This window comes from Homo sapiens, chromosome 3, assembly GCF_000001405.40.
Source record: "Homo sapiens chromosome 3, GRCh38.p14 Primary Assembly".
Classification (NCBI taxonomy): domain Eukaryota; kingdom Metazoa; phylum Chordata; class Mammalia; order Primates; family Hominidae; genus Homo; species Homo sapiens.
The window spans coordinates 49094072-49108049 of record NC_000003.12 but is presented as its reverse complement, the minus strand read 5'-3'; the positions used below and the strand labels follow the sequence as shown (position 1 = coordinate 49108049).

At 53.3% G+C, this 13978-nt stretch overlaps 2 protein-coding genes and 1 non-coding gene across 7 annotated transcripts in view, besides 7 other annotated features; all 3 read left to right on the top strand.

Annotated features, from left to right (window-relative positions):
• Positions 2119–2768: an enhancer, noted in NCBI's record as "H3K27ac-H3K4me1 hESC enhancer chr3:49142715-49143364 (GRCh37/hg19 assembly coordinates)". NCBI's record gives its function as "activates a minimal SCP1, AML or CMV promoter by ChIP-STARR-seq in naive H9 embryonic stem cells {active_cell/tissue: H9 hESC(naive)}" and the evidence as "EXISTENCE:reporter gene assay evidence [ECO:0000049][PMID:30033119]".
• Positions 2962–3121: an enhancer, noted in NCBI's record as "active region_19854". NCBI's record gives its function as "activates an Ori minimal core promoter by ATAC-STARR-seq in GM12878 lymphoblastoid cells {active_cell/tissue: GM12878}" and the evidence as "EXISTENCE:reporter gene assay evidence [ECO:0000049][PMID:35858748]".
• QARS1 (glutaminyl-tRNA synthetase 1) lies at positions 3293–12118 on the top strand. 4 transcript variants are annotated; one of them, NR_073590.2, is made up of 24 exons: positions 3293–3433; positions 3579–3677; positions 4078–4187; positions 4344–4419; positions 4641–4705; positions 5578–5631; positions 5785–5845; positions 6151–6222; positions 6345–6430; positions 6609–6695; positions 7376–7475; positions 7592–7670; positions 7752–7860; positions 7959–8089; positions 8197–8289; positions 8403–8540; positions 8619–8706; positions 8797–8940; positions 9061–9165; positions 9358–9450; positions 9570–9697; positions 9792–9858; positions 9933–10058; positions 11971–12118. NR_073590.2 is itself a non-coding variant. In NM_001272073.2 (24 exons), the coding sequence occupies exons 1-24, from the start codon at positions 3317–3319 to the stop codon at positions 12019–12021; spliced, it is 2295 nt and encodes a 764-aa protein (NP_001259002.1). In that variant the 5' UTR covers positions 3293–3316; the 3' UTR covers positions 12022–12118. The 4 variants fall into 4 exon arrangements, 3 of the variants coding, with proteins under 3 accessions (NP_001259002.1, NP_005042.1, XP_016862454.2); NM_001272073.2 differs by having other exon boundaries at positions 3579–3693; NM_005051.3 differs by having other exon boundaries at positions 3579–3726.
• Positions 3332–3521: an enhancer, noted in NCBI's record as "active region_19853". NCBI's record gives its function as "activates an Ori minimal core promoter by ATAC-STARR-seq in GM12878 lymphoblastoid cells {active_cell/tissue: GM12878}" and the evidence as "EXISTENCE:reporter gene assay evidence [ECO:0000049][PMID:35858748]".
• Positions 4071–4721: an enhancer, noted in NCBI's record as "H3K27ac-H3K4me1 hESC enhancer chr3:49140762-49141412 (GRCh37/hg19 assembly coordinates)". NCBI's record gives its function as "activates a minimal SCP1, AML or CMV promoter by ChIP-STARR-seq in naive H9 embryonic stem cells {active_cell/tissue: H9 hESC(naive)}" and the evidence as "EXISTENCE:reporter gene assay evidence [ECO:0000049][PMID:30033119]".
• Positions 7196–7696: an enhancer, noted in NCBI's record as "H3K4me1 hESC enhancer chr3:49137787-49138287 (GRCh37/hg19 assembly coordinates)". NCBI's record gives its function as "activates a minimal SCP1, AML or CMV promoter by ChIP-STARR-seq in primed H9 embryonic stem cells {active_cell/tissue: H9 hESC(primed)}" and the evidence as "EXISTENCE:reporter gene assay evidence [ECO:0000049][PMID:30033119]".
• On the top strand, positions 8136–8196 carry MIR6890 (microRNA 6890). Its single transcript, NR_106950.1, has one exon. It is a non-coding gene; the product is annotated as a microRNA 6890 (primary transcript).
• Positions 13405–13744: an enhancer, noted in NCBI's record as "active region_19852". NCBI's record gives its function as "activates an Ori minimal core promoter by ATAC-STARR-seq in GM12878 lymphoblastoid cells {active_cell/tissue: GM12878}" and the evidence as "EXISTENCE:reporter gene assay evidence [ECO:0000049][PMID:35858748]".
• The window catches only part of QRICH1 (glutamine rich 1), a 64667-nt gene continuing 64365 nt past the window's right edge, over positions 13677–13978 (top strand). Inside the window, exon 1 of one of the 2 annotated variants that reach the window (NM_001320584.1) lies at positions 13677–13713. The gene's annotated coding sequence lies outside the window, so the exon portion shown is untranslated. Of the gene's footprint in view, positions 13914–13978 lie in introns of both variants that reach the window. The other variant, NM_001320585.1, reaches the window with a different exon arrangement.
• Positions 13855–13974: an enhancer, noted in NCBI's record as "active region_19851". NCBI's record gives its function as "activates an Ori minimal core promoter by ATAC-STARR-seq in GM12878 lymphoblastoid cells {active_cell/tissue: GM12878}" and the evidence as "EXISTENCE:reporter gene assay evidence [ECO:0000049][PMID:35858748]".

Genomic DNA, 13978 nt, shown 5'->3' with positions numbered 1-13978 from the left:
CTTAGTGACTGTGATCCACCACATGCTGGGGCCACCTCCCCTCCCCATCATTTGCGGTGTGTATGTGTGTGTATGTGTGTTTATATATGAGAGACCCTGAAAGTGCCCTAGTCTGAAGGGAGATGATGGGGTCCCAGCTCATGTCCTATGGGTCATGAAGCCCCCAGTGCTATCAGCTTTTTGGAGCCTACCTGCTGCTCTTTCATCCCACTGGTTCTGGATCCTACATAAGAGGCAGCTTGGTAGGCATCGTCAGGATCTCAATATAGCCAAGGGACAGAGGAGTATATGAAGCACTGGAGCTGACAGCGTGGAGTAAAAGGTGCATTCACCAGAGCAGCCTGGGGCTGACAAGTCAGGGAGGACTTGGGGGACAGAAGTACTGGGAGATCTTCCTCCTCCTCTCCTGTCCTCAGCTTTTTCTTTGCTGTAACTTGAACACTAACTGCATCCCTGCAGGTAACAGAGCAGGAGGAAAACTGCTGTGGGGCAGATCTTGCTGCCCTGAAAAGAGGACAAGCAGAGAGGACCAGAGTGAATCTTGTCTGACTTCTATTGGAGGGAGGGTGCTGGGGCCTGCCAGCCTGAAGAGTCTTCCCTTAAGAGTTCCTGAAGCCTTCCTTCTTTGGCCAGGCATGGTGGCTCACACTTGTAATCCCCGCACTTTGAGAGGCCGAGGCGAGTGGGTCATGAGGTCAGGAGTTCGAGACCAGCCTGGCCAAGATGGTGAAACCCCGTCTCTACTAAAAATACAAAAATTAGGTGCAGTGGCGGGCACCTGTAATCCCAGCTACTTGGGAGGCTGAGGCAGGAGAATCGCTTGAACCTGGGAGGCGGAGGTTGCAGGGAGCCGAGATCGCGCCACTGCACTCTAGCCTGGGCGACAGAGCAAGACTCCGTCTCAAAAAAAAAAAAAAAAAAAAAAGTTGCTGAAACTGGCCAAGTGTGGTGGCTTATGCCTGTAATCCCAGCACTTTGGGGCGAGGTGGGAGGATAGCTTGAGCCTAGGAGTTCAGGACCAGCCTGGGCAACATAGTGAGACCCTGTCTTTACCAAAAATATAAAAATTAGCTGGCTCTTATGGTATGCACTTGTAGTCCCAAATATTTCAGAGGCTGAGATGGGAGGATCGTTTGAGCCCAGGAGGTTGCTGGACCCTACCTCTGTCCATTCCACGACTGGGCCTTGCTGGCTGCTGCCTGGTTTTTCCACTTGGTCATCTTTGTCTTGACTTTTCCTGGAAGCAGTGCCAGGGGCTTATGCAGGCAAGCTAACCTCCAGACTGGGCCCATACAATTTAACATTTCTGCTTTGTGCAAGTCGTAGACATCTAGGGCACTAGCTGGATATCGACTGGTATGCTACCACTTGTGGCATTCTTGGTGACACTGGTGGGGCTACTGCCTCATTCTATGACTTGTAGCCATGGCGTCCACAGTGTACCATGAAGTAACCAGGGAAGGGAGTGCAGATCTTGATCTCATTGAGGGAGCCATCACTAGACCTGTAGGACTTGGTGATGGTGCTACAGTGAATCTATTGGCAGCATCAGGTACTGAGGAAATAGTGGCAGTGGCAGGCACTCTGCATGGCTTTGCTCACCATGGGCACCTTTATGGTGGGCTGGGTACTTGCAGCTTCAAATTTGGTGCACGGCTGGTGTGGCTATGGCTCTGCTTCTTGGTACCTGTCCTTAGCACCACTGGTCTGCATCCCCTGCTTAATTCCTGCACCTGGCCTTTCTCATGCAGTACACTGCAGGGCTAGGCATCTGGCTGGGGCCACGGGGCCATGGAGATGTGGGAAGCCCCAGGACAGCATTGGACCTGGATAGCGATACAGCATGTGGCCCTGGTCTGCACCTGGCATGTGATCATTAGGTGGTATCCAGATGTAGGCCCAGACTTGGAGGTTGGTCATTAATAATGGGATGTGGGCACAAAAGACACAGAATATAGATAAAGACTAGTCAGGATCCTGCCTATTCCTTGAAGGTCCAGAAGTATGAGCATCACCAATTCCTGCAAGAGCTCCAATCTCAAATGTGGGGATTTCCACCATCCCACCACCAGCTGCTCATTCTCTGCAACCCCCTACCTCAGTCCCTTACTACCTTAGTCCCTTTTCTCACACACACACAAAGTCTCTGTTCTGTTTCAGCCAGCAGGTCCTGGAAGTCCAGTGAGACTGTGGAAAGATCCCCAAGCACAACAGCTATAATCATGAAGCTATAACCATCTCATTTGTCCCACCCTCTCACAAGCTCAATAAAATATCCTCTCAAAGGCCTGCAGAGGGATTTCAAGGTCTAATTTGCTTGTGGTTTTCCTGATAATGCTTTGGCAAGAGGGTAAGTGTGGGATGAGATTTTTTTTTCTTTTCTTTTTTTTTTTTTGAGACAGTCTTACTCTGTTGACCAGGCTGGAGTGCAGTGGCACAATCTCGGCTCACTGCAACTTCCGCCTCCCAGGTTCAAGCGATTCTCCAGCCTCAGCCTCCTGAGTAGCTGGGATTACAGGCGTGCGCCATCACGCCCGGCTAATTTTTGTATTTTTAGTAGAGACAGGGTTTCACCATGTTGGCGAGGCTGATCTCGAACTCCTGGCCTCAAGTGATCCGCCCGCCTCGGCCTCCCAAAGTGCTGGGATTAAAGGCCTGAGCCACTGCGCCCGGCCAAGATTTTAAACCAAATCATCATAGAACTTATGTGAGGTCCCTCCTGGCCCAGACCCGTCCCTTCCCTTTCCTGGCCAGCTGTGTCCAAGTGGGCACCTGAAAACCGGCGGACTTATGGGGCCCCTGGATCGGTCATTCCACACATTCTCTACGATGGAGTCTGGATGAGGGATTTCCTGGGCTTCATTTGTTCAACTGTTTCCATGACAACTCCAAAGCTGTGGCGTCAAAAGCGTGACAGGGACTCGCATTTGCCCCCGAGGACAATTACTATATTGAGATGGAGTTACCAGGGCTGAAGTAGAAAAGTCAGAGCAAAACCACGCCTGTGTCTTCCTCCTGCCTCAGGGACGAACACCTTCCTTCCAGGTCCGTGGCAAATATCTCCAAAAGCCCTGCCGCCTGCCAACACCCCTTCAAGTTCCCAGTTCCACGGAGGCGGAAGCAAAGCCCCCGGAAAGGCCGGTTTGTCCGCCCTGTGTTGTTTAAAGGGGATAGACGACCTTGGAGCGCCCCGCCCCCTCCCGCCAAGGAAGGACCCCATTGGCTCTCCCCGGAGGCTTCACTCTCATTGGTCAGCGAGTGAATGCCGACCTGCAGACTGGGGCCTAAGTTTCTTTTAGTTTCCGGTGTCTCTGCAATGGCGGCTCTAGACTCCCTGTCGCTCTTCACTAGCCTCGGCCTGAGCGAGCAGAAGGCCCGCGAGACGCTCAAGAACTCGGCTCTGAGCGCGCAGCTGCGCGAGGCCGCTACTCAGGTGCGAGCCCCTCTGCCCCCGGCCTGGTTTGCAGACCATGCTGCAACGCAGCGCGGGGCGGGGTCCAGATCCCGACCTGCCCCGTTTGTCCCGCCCTTTCCTCTCACTGAGCGCGGGGCTTCTCTCTTGACCCCTCTGACCTCAGGCTCAGCAGACCCTGGGTTCCACCATTGACAAAGCTACCGGGATCCTGTTATATGGCTTGGCCTCCCGACTCAGGGATACCCGGCGTCTCTCCTTCCTTGTAAGCTACATAGCCAGTAAGAAGATCCACACTGAGCCCCAGCTAAGCGGTGAGACCCCTACCTGTCCTGCCAGTTCGCACCAATGCCTCCCTTCAGCCAAGACCCCTGTCTTCCCTTTTTGCCAAGTCCTCCAGTTTCTTTCTAGACACCTAGTTCTGCACAGGCACTGAGGCATGGAAGGGGTGGCCTATGGTGAGACTGACACGGGAACTGTCAGGGTCTGAGGGGGGATCCACTCTCGACACGTGCTTCTTTCTTCCCTGTGTTCTCTAGGGTGGTGGTGCCAGGGCTTAACTTTTCAGGAGGCCAGACTATCCTTGGAGTTTCATGAGATTAGGACCCTGTCTGTCCACTTCTTGGAGCAGAGATGCCACAAACTCACGGGCTCTTTCTTCTCAGCTGCCCTTGAGTATGTGCGGAGTCACCCCTTGGACCCCATCGACACTGTGGACTTCGAGCGGGAATGTGGCGTGGGTGTCATTGTGACCCCAGAGCAGATTGAGGAGGCTGTGAGTCTTTCCCCAGGCATCGTCTGCCTCCCCAGTCCTGGCCATGGAAAGGAGTGGCTCAGTTTCCCTCCTCAGGAAGACCCAGAGTGAGGGTGTGGGTTCCCAGAATATCTCTAAAGGTGGCTTTCCTGAACCACATGGTTTGGCTTTCTGCAGGTGGAGGCTGCTATTAACAGGCACCGGCCCCAGCTCCTGGTGGAACGTTACCATTTCAACATGGGGCTGCTGATGGGTGAGCAGGGCCTGGAACGGGGCTATATTGTTCTCTCTGGTCATGCCTTTTCTTCTGGGCACGAGTGAGAAGGAGGTGGGGGAAGGAACAGGAGTGACTTAAAGTGGTCTGGCTGGGCTCAGGCTCTGGTTCTGGTGGTCAGCCAGGACCTTTCCTTGGGAAAGAGGTGGGGGGAGTACTCTTTTTTGCCTTTCTGCAGCTCCTTGTGCCTATGCTTCTAGGAGAGGCTCGGGCTGTGCTGAAGTGGGCAGATGGCAAAATGATCAAGAATGAAGTGGACATGCAGGTGAGCGTGCTTCACTAAGCTGAAGCTGGCAAAGACTCTGGCATGAACAGAGCCTGGAATCCACTAAGGGATAAAAGGCAGGAAGAGGGCTGGGCATGGTGGCTCACGCTTCTGATCCCAGCACTTTGGGAGGCTGAGGCAGGAGGATTACTTGAGCCCAGGAGTTCAAGACCAGCCTGAGCAACATATTGAGAACTCCTCTCTACAGAAAATTTAAAAATTAGCCAGACATGGTGGTGTATACCTGTAGTCCCAGCAATTTGTGGGGCTGTGGTGGGAAGATTGCTTGAATCTAAGAGATCAAGGCTGCAGTAAGCTCTGATTGCACCACTGCACTCCATCCTGGAGTACAGAATGAGACCCTGTCTCAAAATCAACAACAATAAAAAAAGGTGGGAGGGGGCTGGGCATGGTGGCTCACACCTGTAATCCCAACACTATTGGGAGGCTGAGGTGGGCAGATCACCTGAGGTCAGGAGTTTGAGAACAGCCTGGCCAACATGGTGAAACCCCATCTCTACAAAAAGTACAAAAATTAGCTGGGTGTGGTGGCGGGCACATGCAGTCCCAGGTACTCAGAAGGGCTGAGGTAGGAAAATCGCTTGAATCCAGGAGGCGGAGGTTGCAGTGAGCGGAGACTGTGCCATTGCATTCCAGCCTGGGCAACATGAGCAAGACTCCAGTCTGGGCAACAAGAGCAAGAGCATTTTAAGCTAGCAGACCCACATGAGAAGAGATGGGATGGGCTAGGTAGGTTTTTTCAGTCAGTGCTGGTAGATAGGCCAGGAAGCCTTGGGTTGGTGGGTAGGATCAGTCAGGGGCTCCTTGAAAGAGGATACTCCTGCCTCTGCCTGATTCTGGTCTCTGCTCAGGTCCTCCACCTTCTGGGCCCCAAGTTGGAGGCTGATCTGGAGAAGAAGTTCAAGGTAGGGATGGGCATGGCCCTGAGTCCCTGAGGGTGAGGTGAGGTATGGTGAGACTTCAGGCTGGGGAAGGAAGTGTCTGACCACAGGGATCCCAAGACCCTATCCAAGAGAAAATTTGATGCCATTTTCTGAAGCACCTGGGGCTTCTTTCAGGTGGCAAAAGCTCGGCTAGAAGAAACAGACCGGAGGACGGCAAAGGATGTGGTGGAGAATGGTGAGAAGCTTGAGACTCCTGTCACAGCATTCAGCTCCCTGACTTCTGAACCTCCTCAGAAGAGTCCTTACAGGCTCCTCAGGCCCTTGGCTTACTCAGTACCCTGACTTCTGTCTCAAGACTGGGATTCCTGGTGTTTCTTTTGTTCCCTTTGCCCAGAGACTGGCATGAGAGGCCTCAGATGTCTGGCTCTAGATATCTTGTCTCTGGAATTGAGGGAATAGGGGTCTACTCAGTTCTGTTCTGGCTGTAGGATATGGTAAATGTATCTAGAGGACAAGTTTTCCTTGTTTTGTTCCCCACAGGCGAGACTGCTGACCAGACCCTGTCTCTGATGGAGCAGCTCCGGGGGGAGGCCCTTAAGTTCCACAAGCCTGGTTAGTGGGCATGTCAAAACCCTGGGGAGGGCTGGATCTTGGCAGCAGCTCCTATAGTCAGGCCCCTGGGGTCAGAGGCTTTGGCTGCAGCCTGGTCCTTAGGCTTATTCTGGTCCTGGCAGGTGAGAACTACAAGACCCCAGGCTATGTGGTCACTCCACACACCATGAATCTACTAAAGCAGCACCTGGAGATTACTGGTGGGCAGGTGTGTGGGGATGTGGCCATGTGAGCTTGTGCCATCAAACACCTGCCTGAGTGCCTGGGCTGCGTCCATACTGCCCCATCTCACCCATCACCATGGCCTTCCTGGGAGGGAACATCTGTTTCTTTAAGGTCATCTGAGCTCAGACTTTATTTCTCTTTTCCCATCCCCCTTATTTTAGGTACGTACCCGGTTCCCGCCAGAACCCAATGGAATCCTGCATATTGGACATGCCAAAGCCATCAATTTCAACTTTGGCTATGCCAAGGTAAGCATGTGTCTAGGGACCTGGCAAGCAAGATGACCACTTGCTGTTCCCATGAGTGGATACCATATCCCTGCCTTGCTGTCTGCTCCCAATAATGTACCCAGGTGGGCAGAGGCCATGGAAAGGAACCACATGTGTGACAGATACCTAGGAATCTATTGAGCTTATTGGAATAAATAGCTCCCTCCCTCTGAGGAGTCAGTGAGTTCAAATTTGGGGGAGTTGCCAGTGCAGTCCCTAGGCTTAGAAAGATGCTAGGTTAGATACAGGAAGGTGAGAGAAGCTCTTGAAGACATTTTTAATTCTGACATGAGTCCGGGTTGGGTGGCTCACGCCTGTAATCTCAACACTTCGGGAGGCTAAAGTGGGTGGATCACTTGAGGTCAGGAGTTCGAAACCAATCTGGCCAACATGGTGAAACCCCATCTCTACTAAAAATACAAAAGTTAGCTGGCCATGGTGGCACACGCTTGTAGTTTCAGCTACTGGGAAGCTGAGGCAGGAGAAACCCAGGAGGTGGAGGCTGCAGTGAGCCAAGATGGTGCAAGATAATCAAGACTCCATCTCAAAAAAAAAGAAAATTCTGACATGAGAGTGCTCTGTGAATATCCTAGTTTGATAAACAGGATTGTGGGGCTGATGGATGATGTGGGAGTTCACAGATGGTGCAACTTTCCTAGGCCAACAATGGCATCTGTTTTCTGCGTTTTGATGACACCAACCCTGAGAAGGAGGAAGCAAAGTTCTTCACGGCCATCTGTGACATGGTAGCCTGGCTAGGTATGGACTAGGCAAAGCCTAGAAGGGCTGGTGGTTAGTGGGCCTCTCCTTGGGCCATGGCCTGCCCACTGGGTGTTTGTGGCTGGCTGCTCATACTTTGTTTCATTTTGCCCCAGGCTACACACCTTACAAAGTCACATATGCGTCTGACTATTTTGACCAGCTATATGCGTGGGCTGTGGAGCTCATCCGCAGGTAAGGCCAGGGCCATGACGTAGAGCCAGGCAGACTGACTAGGTCACAGCCATGCTGGGCACTCACACCGCTTCCCCACAGGGGTCTGGCTTATGTGTGCCACCAGCGAGGAGAGGAGCTCAAAGGCCATAATACTCTGCCTTCACCCTGGAGAGACCGTCCCATGGAGGAGTCACTGCTGCTCTTTGAGGTGGGGTCCTAGAGGAGCATCTGGGTTTGGGTGGGCCAAGGTGCTGAGAATGAGATGCTCCTGTGCTTAGAGACAGCCTGAGTCCTTGTTCCCCTCAGGCAATGCGCAAGGGCAAGTTTTCAGAGGGCGAGGCCACACTACGGATGAAGCTGGTGATGGAGGATGGCAAGATGGACCCTGTAGCCTATCGAGTCAAGTATACACCACACCACCGCACAGGGGACAAATGGTGGGTGTAGAATGGGGTGGGGTGGTGGGGCTGCCGAGCAGGGCGATGGGCCATGGGGTAGGGCAGAGTAGGGCTGGATGGTAGGGCCCACTGCCTATGCCCCACAGGTGCATCTATCCCACCTACGACTACACACACTGCCTCTGTGACTCCATCGAGCACATCACTCACTCACTCTGCACCAAGGAATTCCAGGCCCGGTGAGGGAGCTGGGTCCATGGGGTGGTAGGGCCAGTGGAATTCCAGCAGCCCTTCCTGTGGTCTCTGCCTGGTTCCAGAGCTGGCCAGTGCTAACCCTACTCTCCCACCCCAGACGCTCTTCCTACTTCTGGCTTTGCAATGCACTGGACGTCTATTGCCCTGTGCAGTGGGAGTATGGCCGCCTCAACCTGCACTATGCTGTTGTCTCTAAGAGGAAGATCCTCCAGCTTGTAGCAACTGGTGCTGTGCGGTAGGTGCGGCTGTTTGGCTTATGAAAGGTTAATGGCATATGCTCCCAAAGGCCTTCTCACCACCTTCTTATCCACAGGGACTGGGATGACCCACGGCTCTTTACACTCACGGCCCTGCGACGGCGGGGCTTCCCACCTGAGGCCATCAACAACTTCTGTGCCCGGGTATAGCCCAGCAGGTTGGGTAGATACATTGGGGGTTGAGTGTGGCAGTTTGTGATTGTAGCTGTGACTGATGCTGAACTTTCCTGCCAGGTGGGAGTGACTGTGGCACAAACCACAATGGAGCCACATCTTCTAGAAGCCTGTGTGCGTGATGTGCTGAATGACACAGCCCCACGAGCCATGGCTGTGCTGGAGTCACTACGGGTCATCATCACCAACTTTCCTGCTGCCAAGGTGGGCCTGCCTCAACATGTGTGTCACATGTGTGTGTGTAGCTGGGGGTACACTTGGCTCTGGGCATGGGGGTCCTAATGCTGAGTATGACTCATACCTGTCTCCTGTCTCCTGCTATAGTCCTTGGACATCCAGGTGCCCAACTTCCCAGCTGATGAGACCAAAGGCTTCCATCAGGTTCCCTTTGCACCCATTGTCTTCATTGAGAGGACTGACTTCAAGGAGGTAAATTGTGGGGGTGGAGGGTCCCGTTTGCTGCTGAGTCTGGTACTGGGAACCTTTCATCTCCTCATCTCTGTCAGTCCATCTACTTCCTGCTTCAGATGAACCAATCTTTGCCAGACACGGGGGTAGGGAAGCTTCCCCACTTGTTTGACCCTTGCAGCCTCATGTGTCTACCCCACTTCCTATCTCTAGGAGCCAGAGCCAGGATTTAAGCGCCTGGCTTGGGGCCAGCCTGTGGGCCTGAGGCATACAGGCTACGTCATTGAGCTGCAGCATGTTGTCAAGGTGAGAGCCAGCTGCAGCCTTCCTACTGCAGTGCCTGCTGGGGCCAAGATGTGAGTATAGCCTGCAGTCCTGGTTGTGGTTCCCGGGTCTAATTGCTGCTCCCCTCCCCCCACTTCCAGGGCCCCAGTGGTTGTGTAGAGAGTCTGGAGGTGACCTGCAGACGGGCAGATGCTGGAGAGAAGCCAAAGGCCTTTATTCACTGGGTGTCACAGCCTTTGATGTGTGAGGTTCGCCTCTATGAGCGACTGTGAGTGAACAGAGCTGGGGTGGGGGCAGGTACAAGATGCACATTGCCTGCTATGGCTGCCCAGCTGGGGGTATGACCTTCACTTTGGCTGCAGATTCCAGCACAAGAACCCTGAAGATCCTACTGAGGTGCCTGGTGGATTTTTAAGTGACCTGAACCTGGTAGGTTCATGAGGTTTGGGGTGAGGGAGGTAGGCCTCCCTGGTTGGATGGTTGCCTGAGTTCCCTGCCTGCAGGCATCACTACACGTGGTGGATGCAGCATTAGTGGACTGCTCTGTGGCCCTGGCAAAACCCTTCGACAAGTTCCAGTTTGAGCGTCTTGGATATTTCTCCGTGGATCCAGACAGCCATCAGGGAAAGGTGCTTGACTTTACTCACCTGCCCTCATCTGCAGCAGTGACAGTGGCTGCCGTTCATTGTGCCAAGTGCTCTGCATACATTCCCTTAGTTAATCCTCACCACCTGAGGGAGTTGGTATTCATATTCTACTAGTGAGGAAACTGGCACTGAGGATAACTCCAGGCACAAAATTTTGTATGAAGGCTGCCTTTTTTTTTGAGACAGTCTTGCACTGTCGCCCGGGGCTGGAGTGCAATGGCACCATCTCGGCTCACTGCAACCTCTGCCTCCCAGGTTCAAGTGATTCTCCTGCCTCAGCCTCCCGAGTAGCTGGGATTACAGGCGCCTGCCACCACACCCGGCTAATTTTTTGTATTTTTAGTAGAGATGGGGTTTCACCATGTTGGCCAGGATGGTCTCGAATTCCTGACTTCATGATCTGCCCGCCTCGGCCTCCCAAAGTGCTGGGATCACAGTCATGAGCCACTGCACCCGACCTCTTTTTTTTTTTTAATTATTATTTTTTGAGGCAGGGCATGGTGGCTCACACTTGTAATCCCAGCACTTTGGGAGGCCAAGGCAGGCTGATCACCAGAGGTCAGGGCTTACCACCAGAGGTCAGGAGTTCGAGACCACCCTGGCCAACATGGTGAAACACCCGAAAGATATTATTTTTAATATCTTTCGTTAAGGCAGCTAATAACCTTTCTTTTTATTTATTTTAGAGACGGGGTCTTACTCTTGCCCAGGGTGGTGTGAAGTGGTGCAATCATAGCTCACTGTGGCCTCAAACTACTGGGCTCAAGCTATTCTCCTGCCTTAGCTGAGACTACATGTGCACACTACCATGCCTGGCTAATTTTAAAACTTTTTGTAGAGGCAAGTTCTCACTATGTTGCCCAGGTTGGTCTTGAATTACTGGCTTCAAGCAGTCCTCCTGTCTCAGCCTCCTAGAGTGCTGGGATTATAGGCATGAGCCACTGTGCCCAGCCACCCTGCCATCCTTTTTTTTTTTTTTTTCTTTTTTTGAAACAGTATCTCGCCCTGTTGCCCAGGCTGGAGTACAGTGGCACGATCTCGGCCCACTGCAACCTCCGCCTCCCAGGCTCAAGCCATTCTCCTGCCTCAGCCTTCCAAGTAGCTGGGATTACAGGCACATGCTACCACGCCCGGCAAATTTTTTTTTTTTTTTTTTTTTTTTTTTTTTTTTTTTTGAGACGGAGTCTCACATGTCGCCCAGGCTGGAGTGCAGTGGCACAATCTCGGCTCACTGCAAGCTCTGCCTCCCGGGTTCACGCCATTCTCCCGCCTCAGCCTCCCAAATAGCTGGGACTACAGGCGCCCGCCACCACTCCCAGCTAATTTTTTCTATTTTTTAGTAGAGACGGGGTTTCACCGTGTTAGCCAGGATGGTCTCGATCTCCTGATCTCATGATCCGCCTGCCTCGGCCTCCCAGAGTGCTGGGATTACAGGCGTGAGCCACTGCGCCTGGCCTAATTTTTGTATTTTTAGTAGAGACGGGGTTTTGCCATGTTGGCCAGGCTGGTCTTGAACTCCTGACCTCAGATTATCTGCCTGTCTCAGCCTCCCAAAGTGCTGAGATTACAGGCGTGAGCCACTGCACCAGCCCACCCTGTCTTTCTTACTCCTTAAAGTAGGGGGCAAACATGGTGGTTGTTATAATCCATATAAAACTATACCCTGGACCCCCACGGTGGTTGTTATGGTCCATATAATACTATAGCCTAGAGCCCCATTCAGTCCCTTACCCAAAGTCACAAAGTTATTGAGGACCCGGGCCTCCTGACCCTTAGTCCCTCGGCTTCTTTGGCTTAAGAAGGATGTTAGGGGGAGGTGTCTGTGGTGAAACCTGCCCAGGCCTCCCTGGCCTTGTTCTGGGTTGGTGGTCATCCTTTTCCCTCTGCCCTCCAGCTTGTCTTTAACCGAACTGTCACACTGAAGGAAGACCCAGGAAAGGTGTGAGCTGGAAGCACTGAACCTACCTCATCCTCCTGGAGGGTGTGGCTACCCTCGCCACCCCAAATTCCATGTCAATAAAGAACAGCTAAATTCTCCTAGAGTCTGTGTGTTATCTCTGCACTTCTAGCATCTGAAGGCCCTGAAGACATGCTGGTGGTGGTGGTATGATTGGGGGATGGAGATGTGCCTTTTGCACATTTTGTCTGTGAGAATGGACTTTCCCAGAACAGAGTGGTACTGACAGCTTTGAAAGCACCGGTGCACTTTTTGGTGCTTAAAGGCAGGGGCCTGGGTAGGATTCATACCCTCCGCACCTGGTCTGAGAGAATGGAGGGCCCTGGGGTGTTTGTCCATGGTTAGGACCCCTGTGCCAGAGGGATCTAAAAGGTTTGTTTCTGCTGGTGTGGAGAGGCCTAGCTCCCAGTCTGATCATTCAGCATATAATTTTTTTTTTTTTTTTTTGATACGGAGTTCCACTCTAGCCCAGGCTGGAGTGCAGTGGCTCAATCTTGGCTCACTGCAACCTCTGCCTCCCGGGTTCAAGCGATTCTCGTGCCTCAGCCTCCCAAGTAGCTGGGATTACAGGCGGGCGCCACCACTCCTGAATAATTTTTGTAATTTCAGTAGAGACGGGGTTTTGCCAAATTGGCCAGACTGGTCTGGAACTCCTGACCCCAGGTGATCTGCCCGCCTCGGCCTCCCAAAGTGCTGGGATTGCAGGCGTGAGCCACTGCGCCCAATCAGCCTATAATTCTTTTTTATTTTTGAGACGGAGTCTCACTCTTGTCCCCCAAGCTGCAGTGCAATGGTGTGATCTCAGCTCACTGCAACCTCTGCCTCCCAGGTTCAAGCAGTTTTCCTGCCTCAGCCTCTTAAGTAGCTGGGATCACAGGCATGCACCACCACACTCGGCTAATTTTGTATTTTTAGTAGAGACGGGGTTCACCATGTTGGCCAGGCTGGTCTCAAACTCCTGACCTCAGGTGATTCACCCGCCTCGGTCTCCCAAAGTGTTGGGATTACAGACTTCAGCCACCGTGCCCGGCCCATTCGGCATATAATTTTTGAGTGCCTACTACGTGCCAGGCAAAGTGAGATGGGGCATACGTGCTGTGGTGGCCTTCCAAGTTCACGGGAGGGGAAATGGGTGACCAAGCACTGTATGGGAGCGGTCTCCCTGGGGCCTGTGCAAGACTGGAAGAGGTTCCTGACCCAGCCTGGGCCTCAGAAAACATTACTCTAACGAAGTGACTTCTGAAGGGAATCACGAAAGACTACGGGGAGTTTGCCAGGATAAGAGGAACAAGGGCAAAAGCTCCGAGGCAAAAAGAGTCTACAGCAGGCTGGAAGCCCTCTGGGGGCAGTGTAGGCTGCTGCTGAGGCCCGAGTGTGCCTGCAGCTTTAACGCCTTCCACATTTTCCCTGTATACAAACACTAGGCTACCCGGGGGCCCGCTTTAAGGTGGACCCAACTGCGGAAGGCTGAACTCAGATGGCAGCAGACAGCGGGAGTACCAGATGCTGACTCCTCCAGGAGGTGAGCAACCTAGAGGCTTCCCAGGCAGGGCACGGCTGGGGACGCCAGGCCCAGGACAGAAGTTTGTGGGGTCCACCTTAAGCGAGAGGCCGAGCCTGGCCAGGCCCCGCCCCGCGTGGGCGTGCTCGACCAAAGGAGGCTCTGGCGGGCGACGGAAGGTGGGTCCAAAGAGCTAGCTTGGAGCCCTAGCCTTCCGAGACTCCACTACTAGGCCAAGCCACGGCCCTAGCTCCGCCCCACATGGAGAGGCGTCCATGGGCGGAGCGAGCCGCTCCATACCCTAGGATCCACTATCCGCTCTAGCGGCCAGAAGCGCGGCCACCTTCCCCTGCTGAAGCGTTCACTTTAATTTTGGCCGGTAGGCAGTCCCAGATCTCGCGGGATCCGACGCCCCGATTATCGCGAGAGGAGCAATCGGCTCCT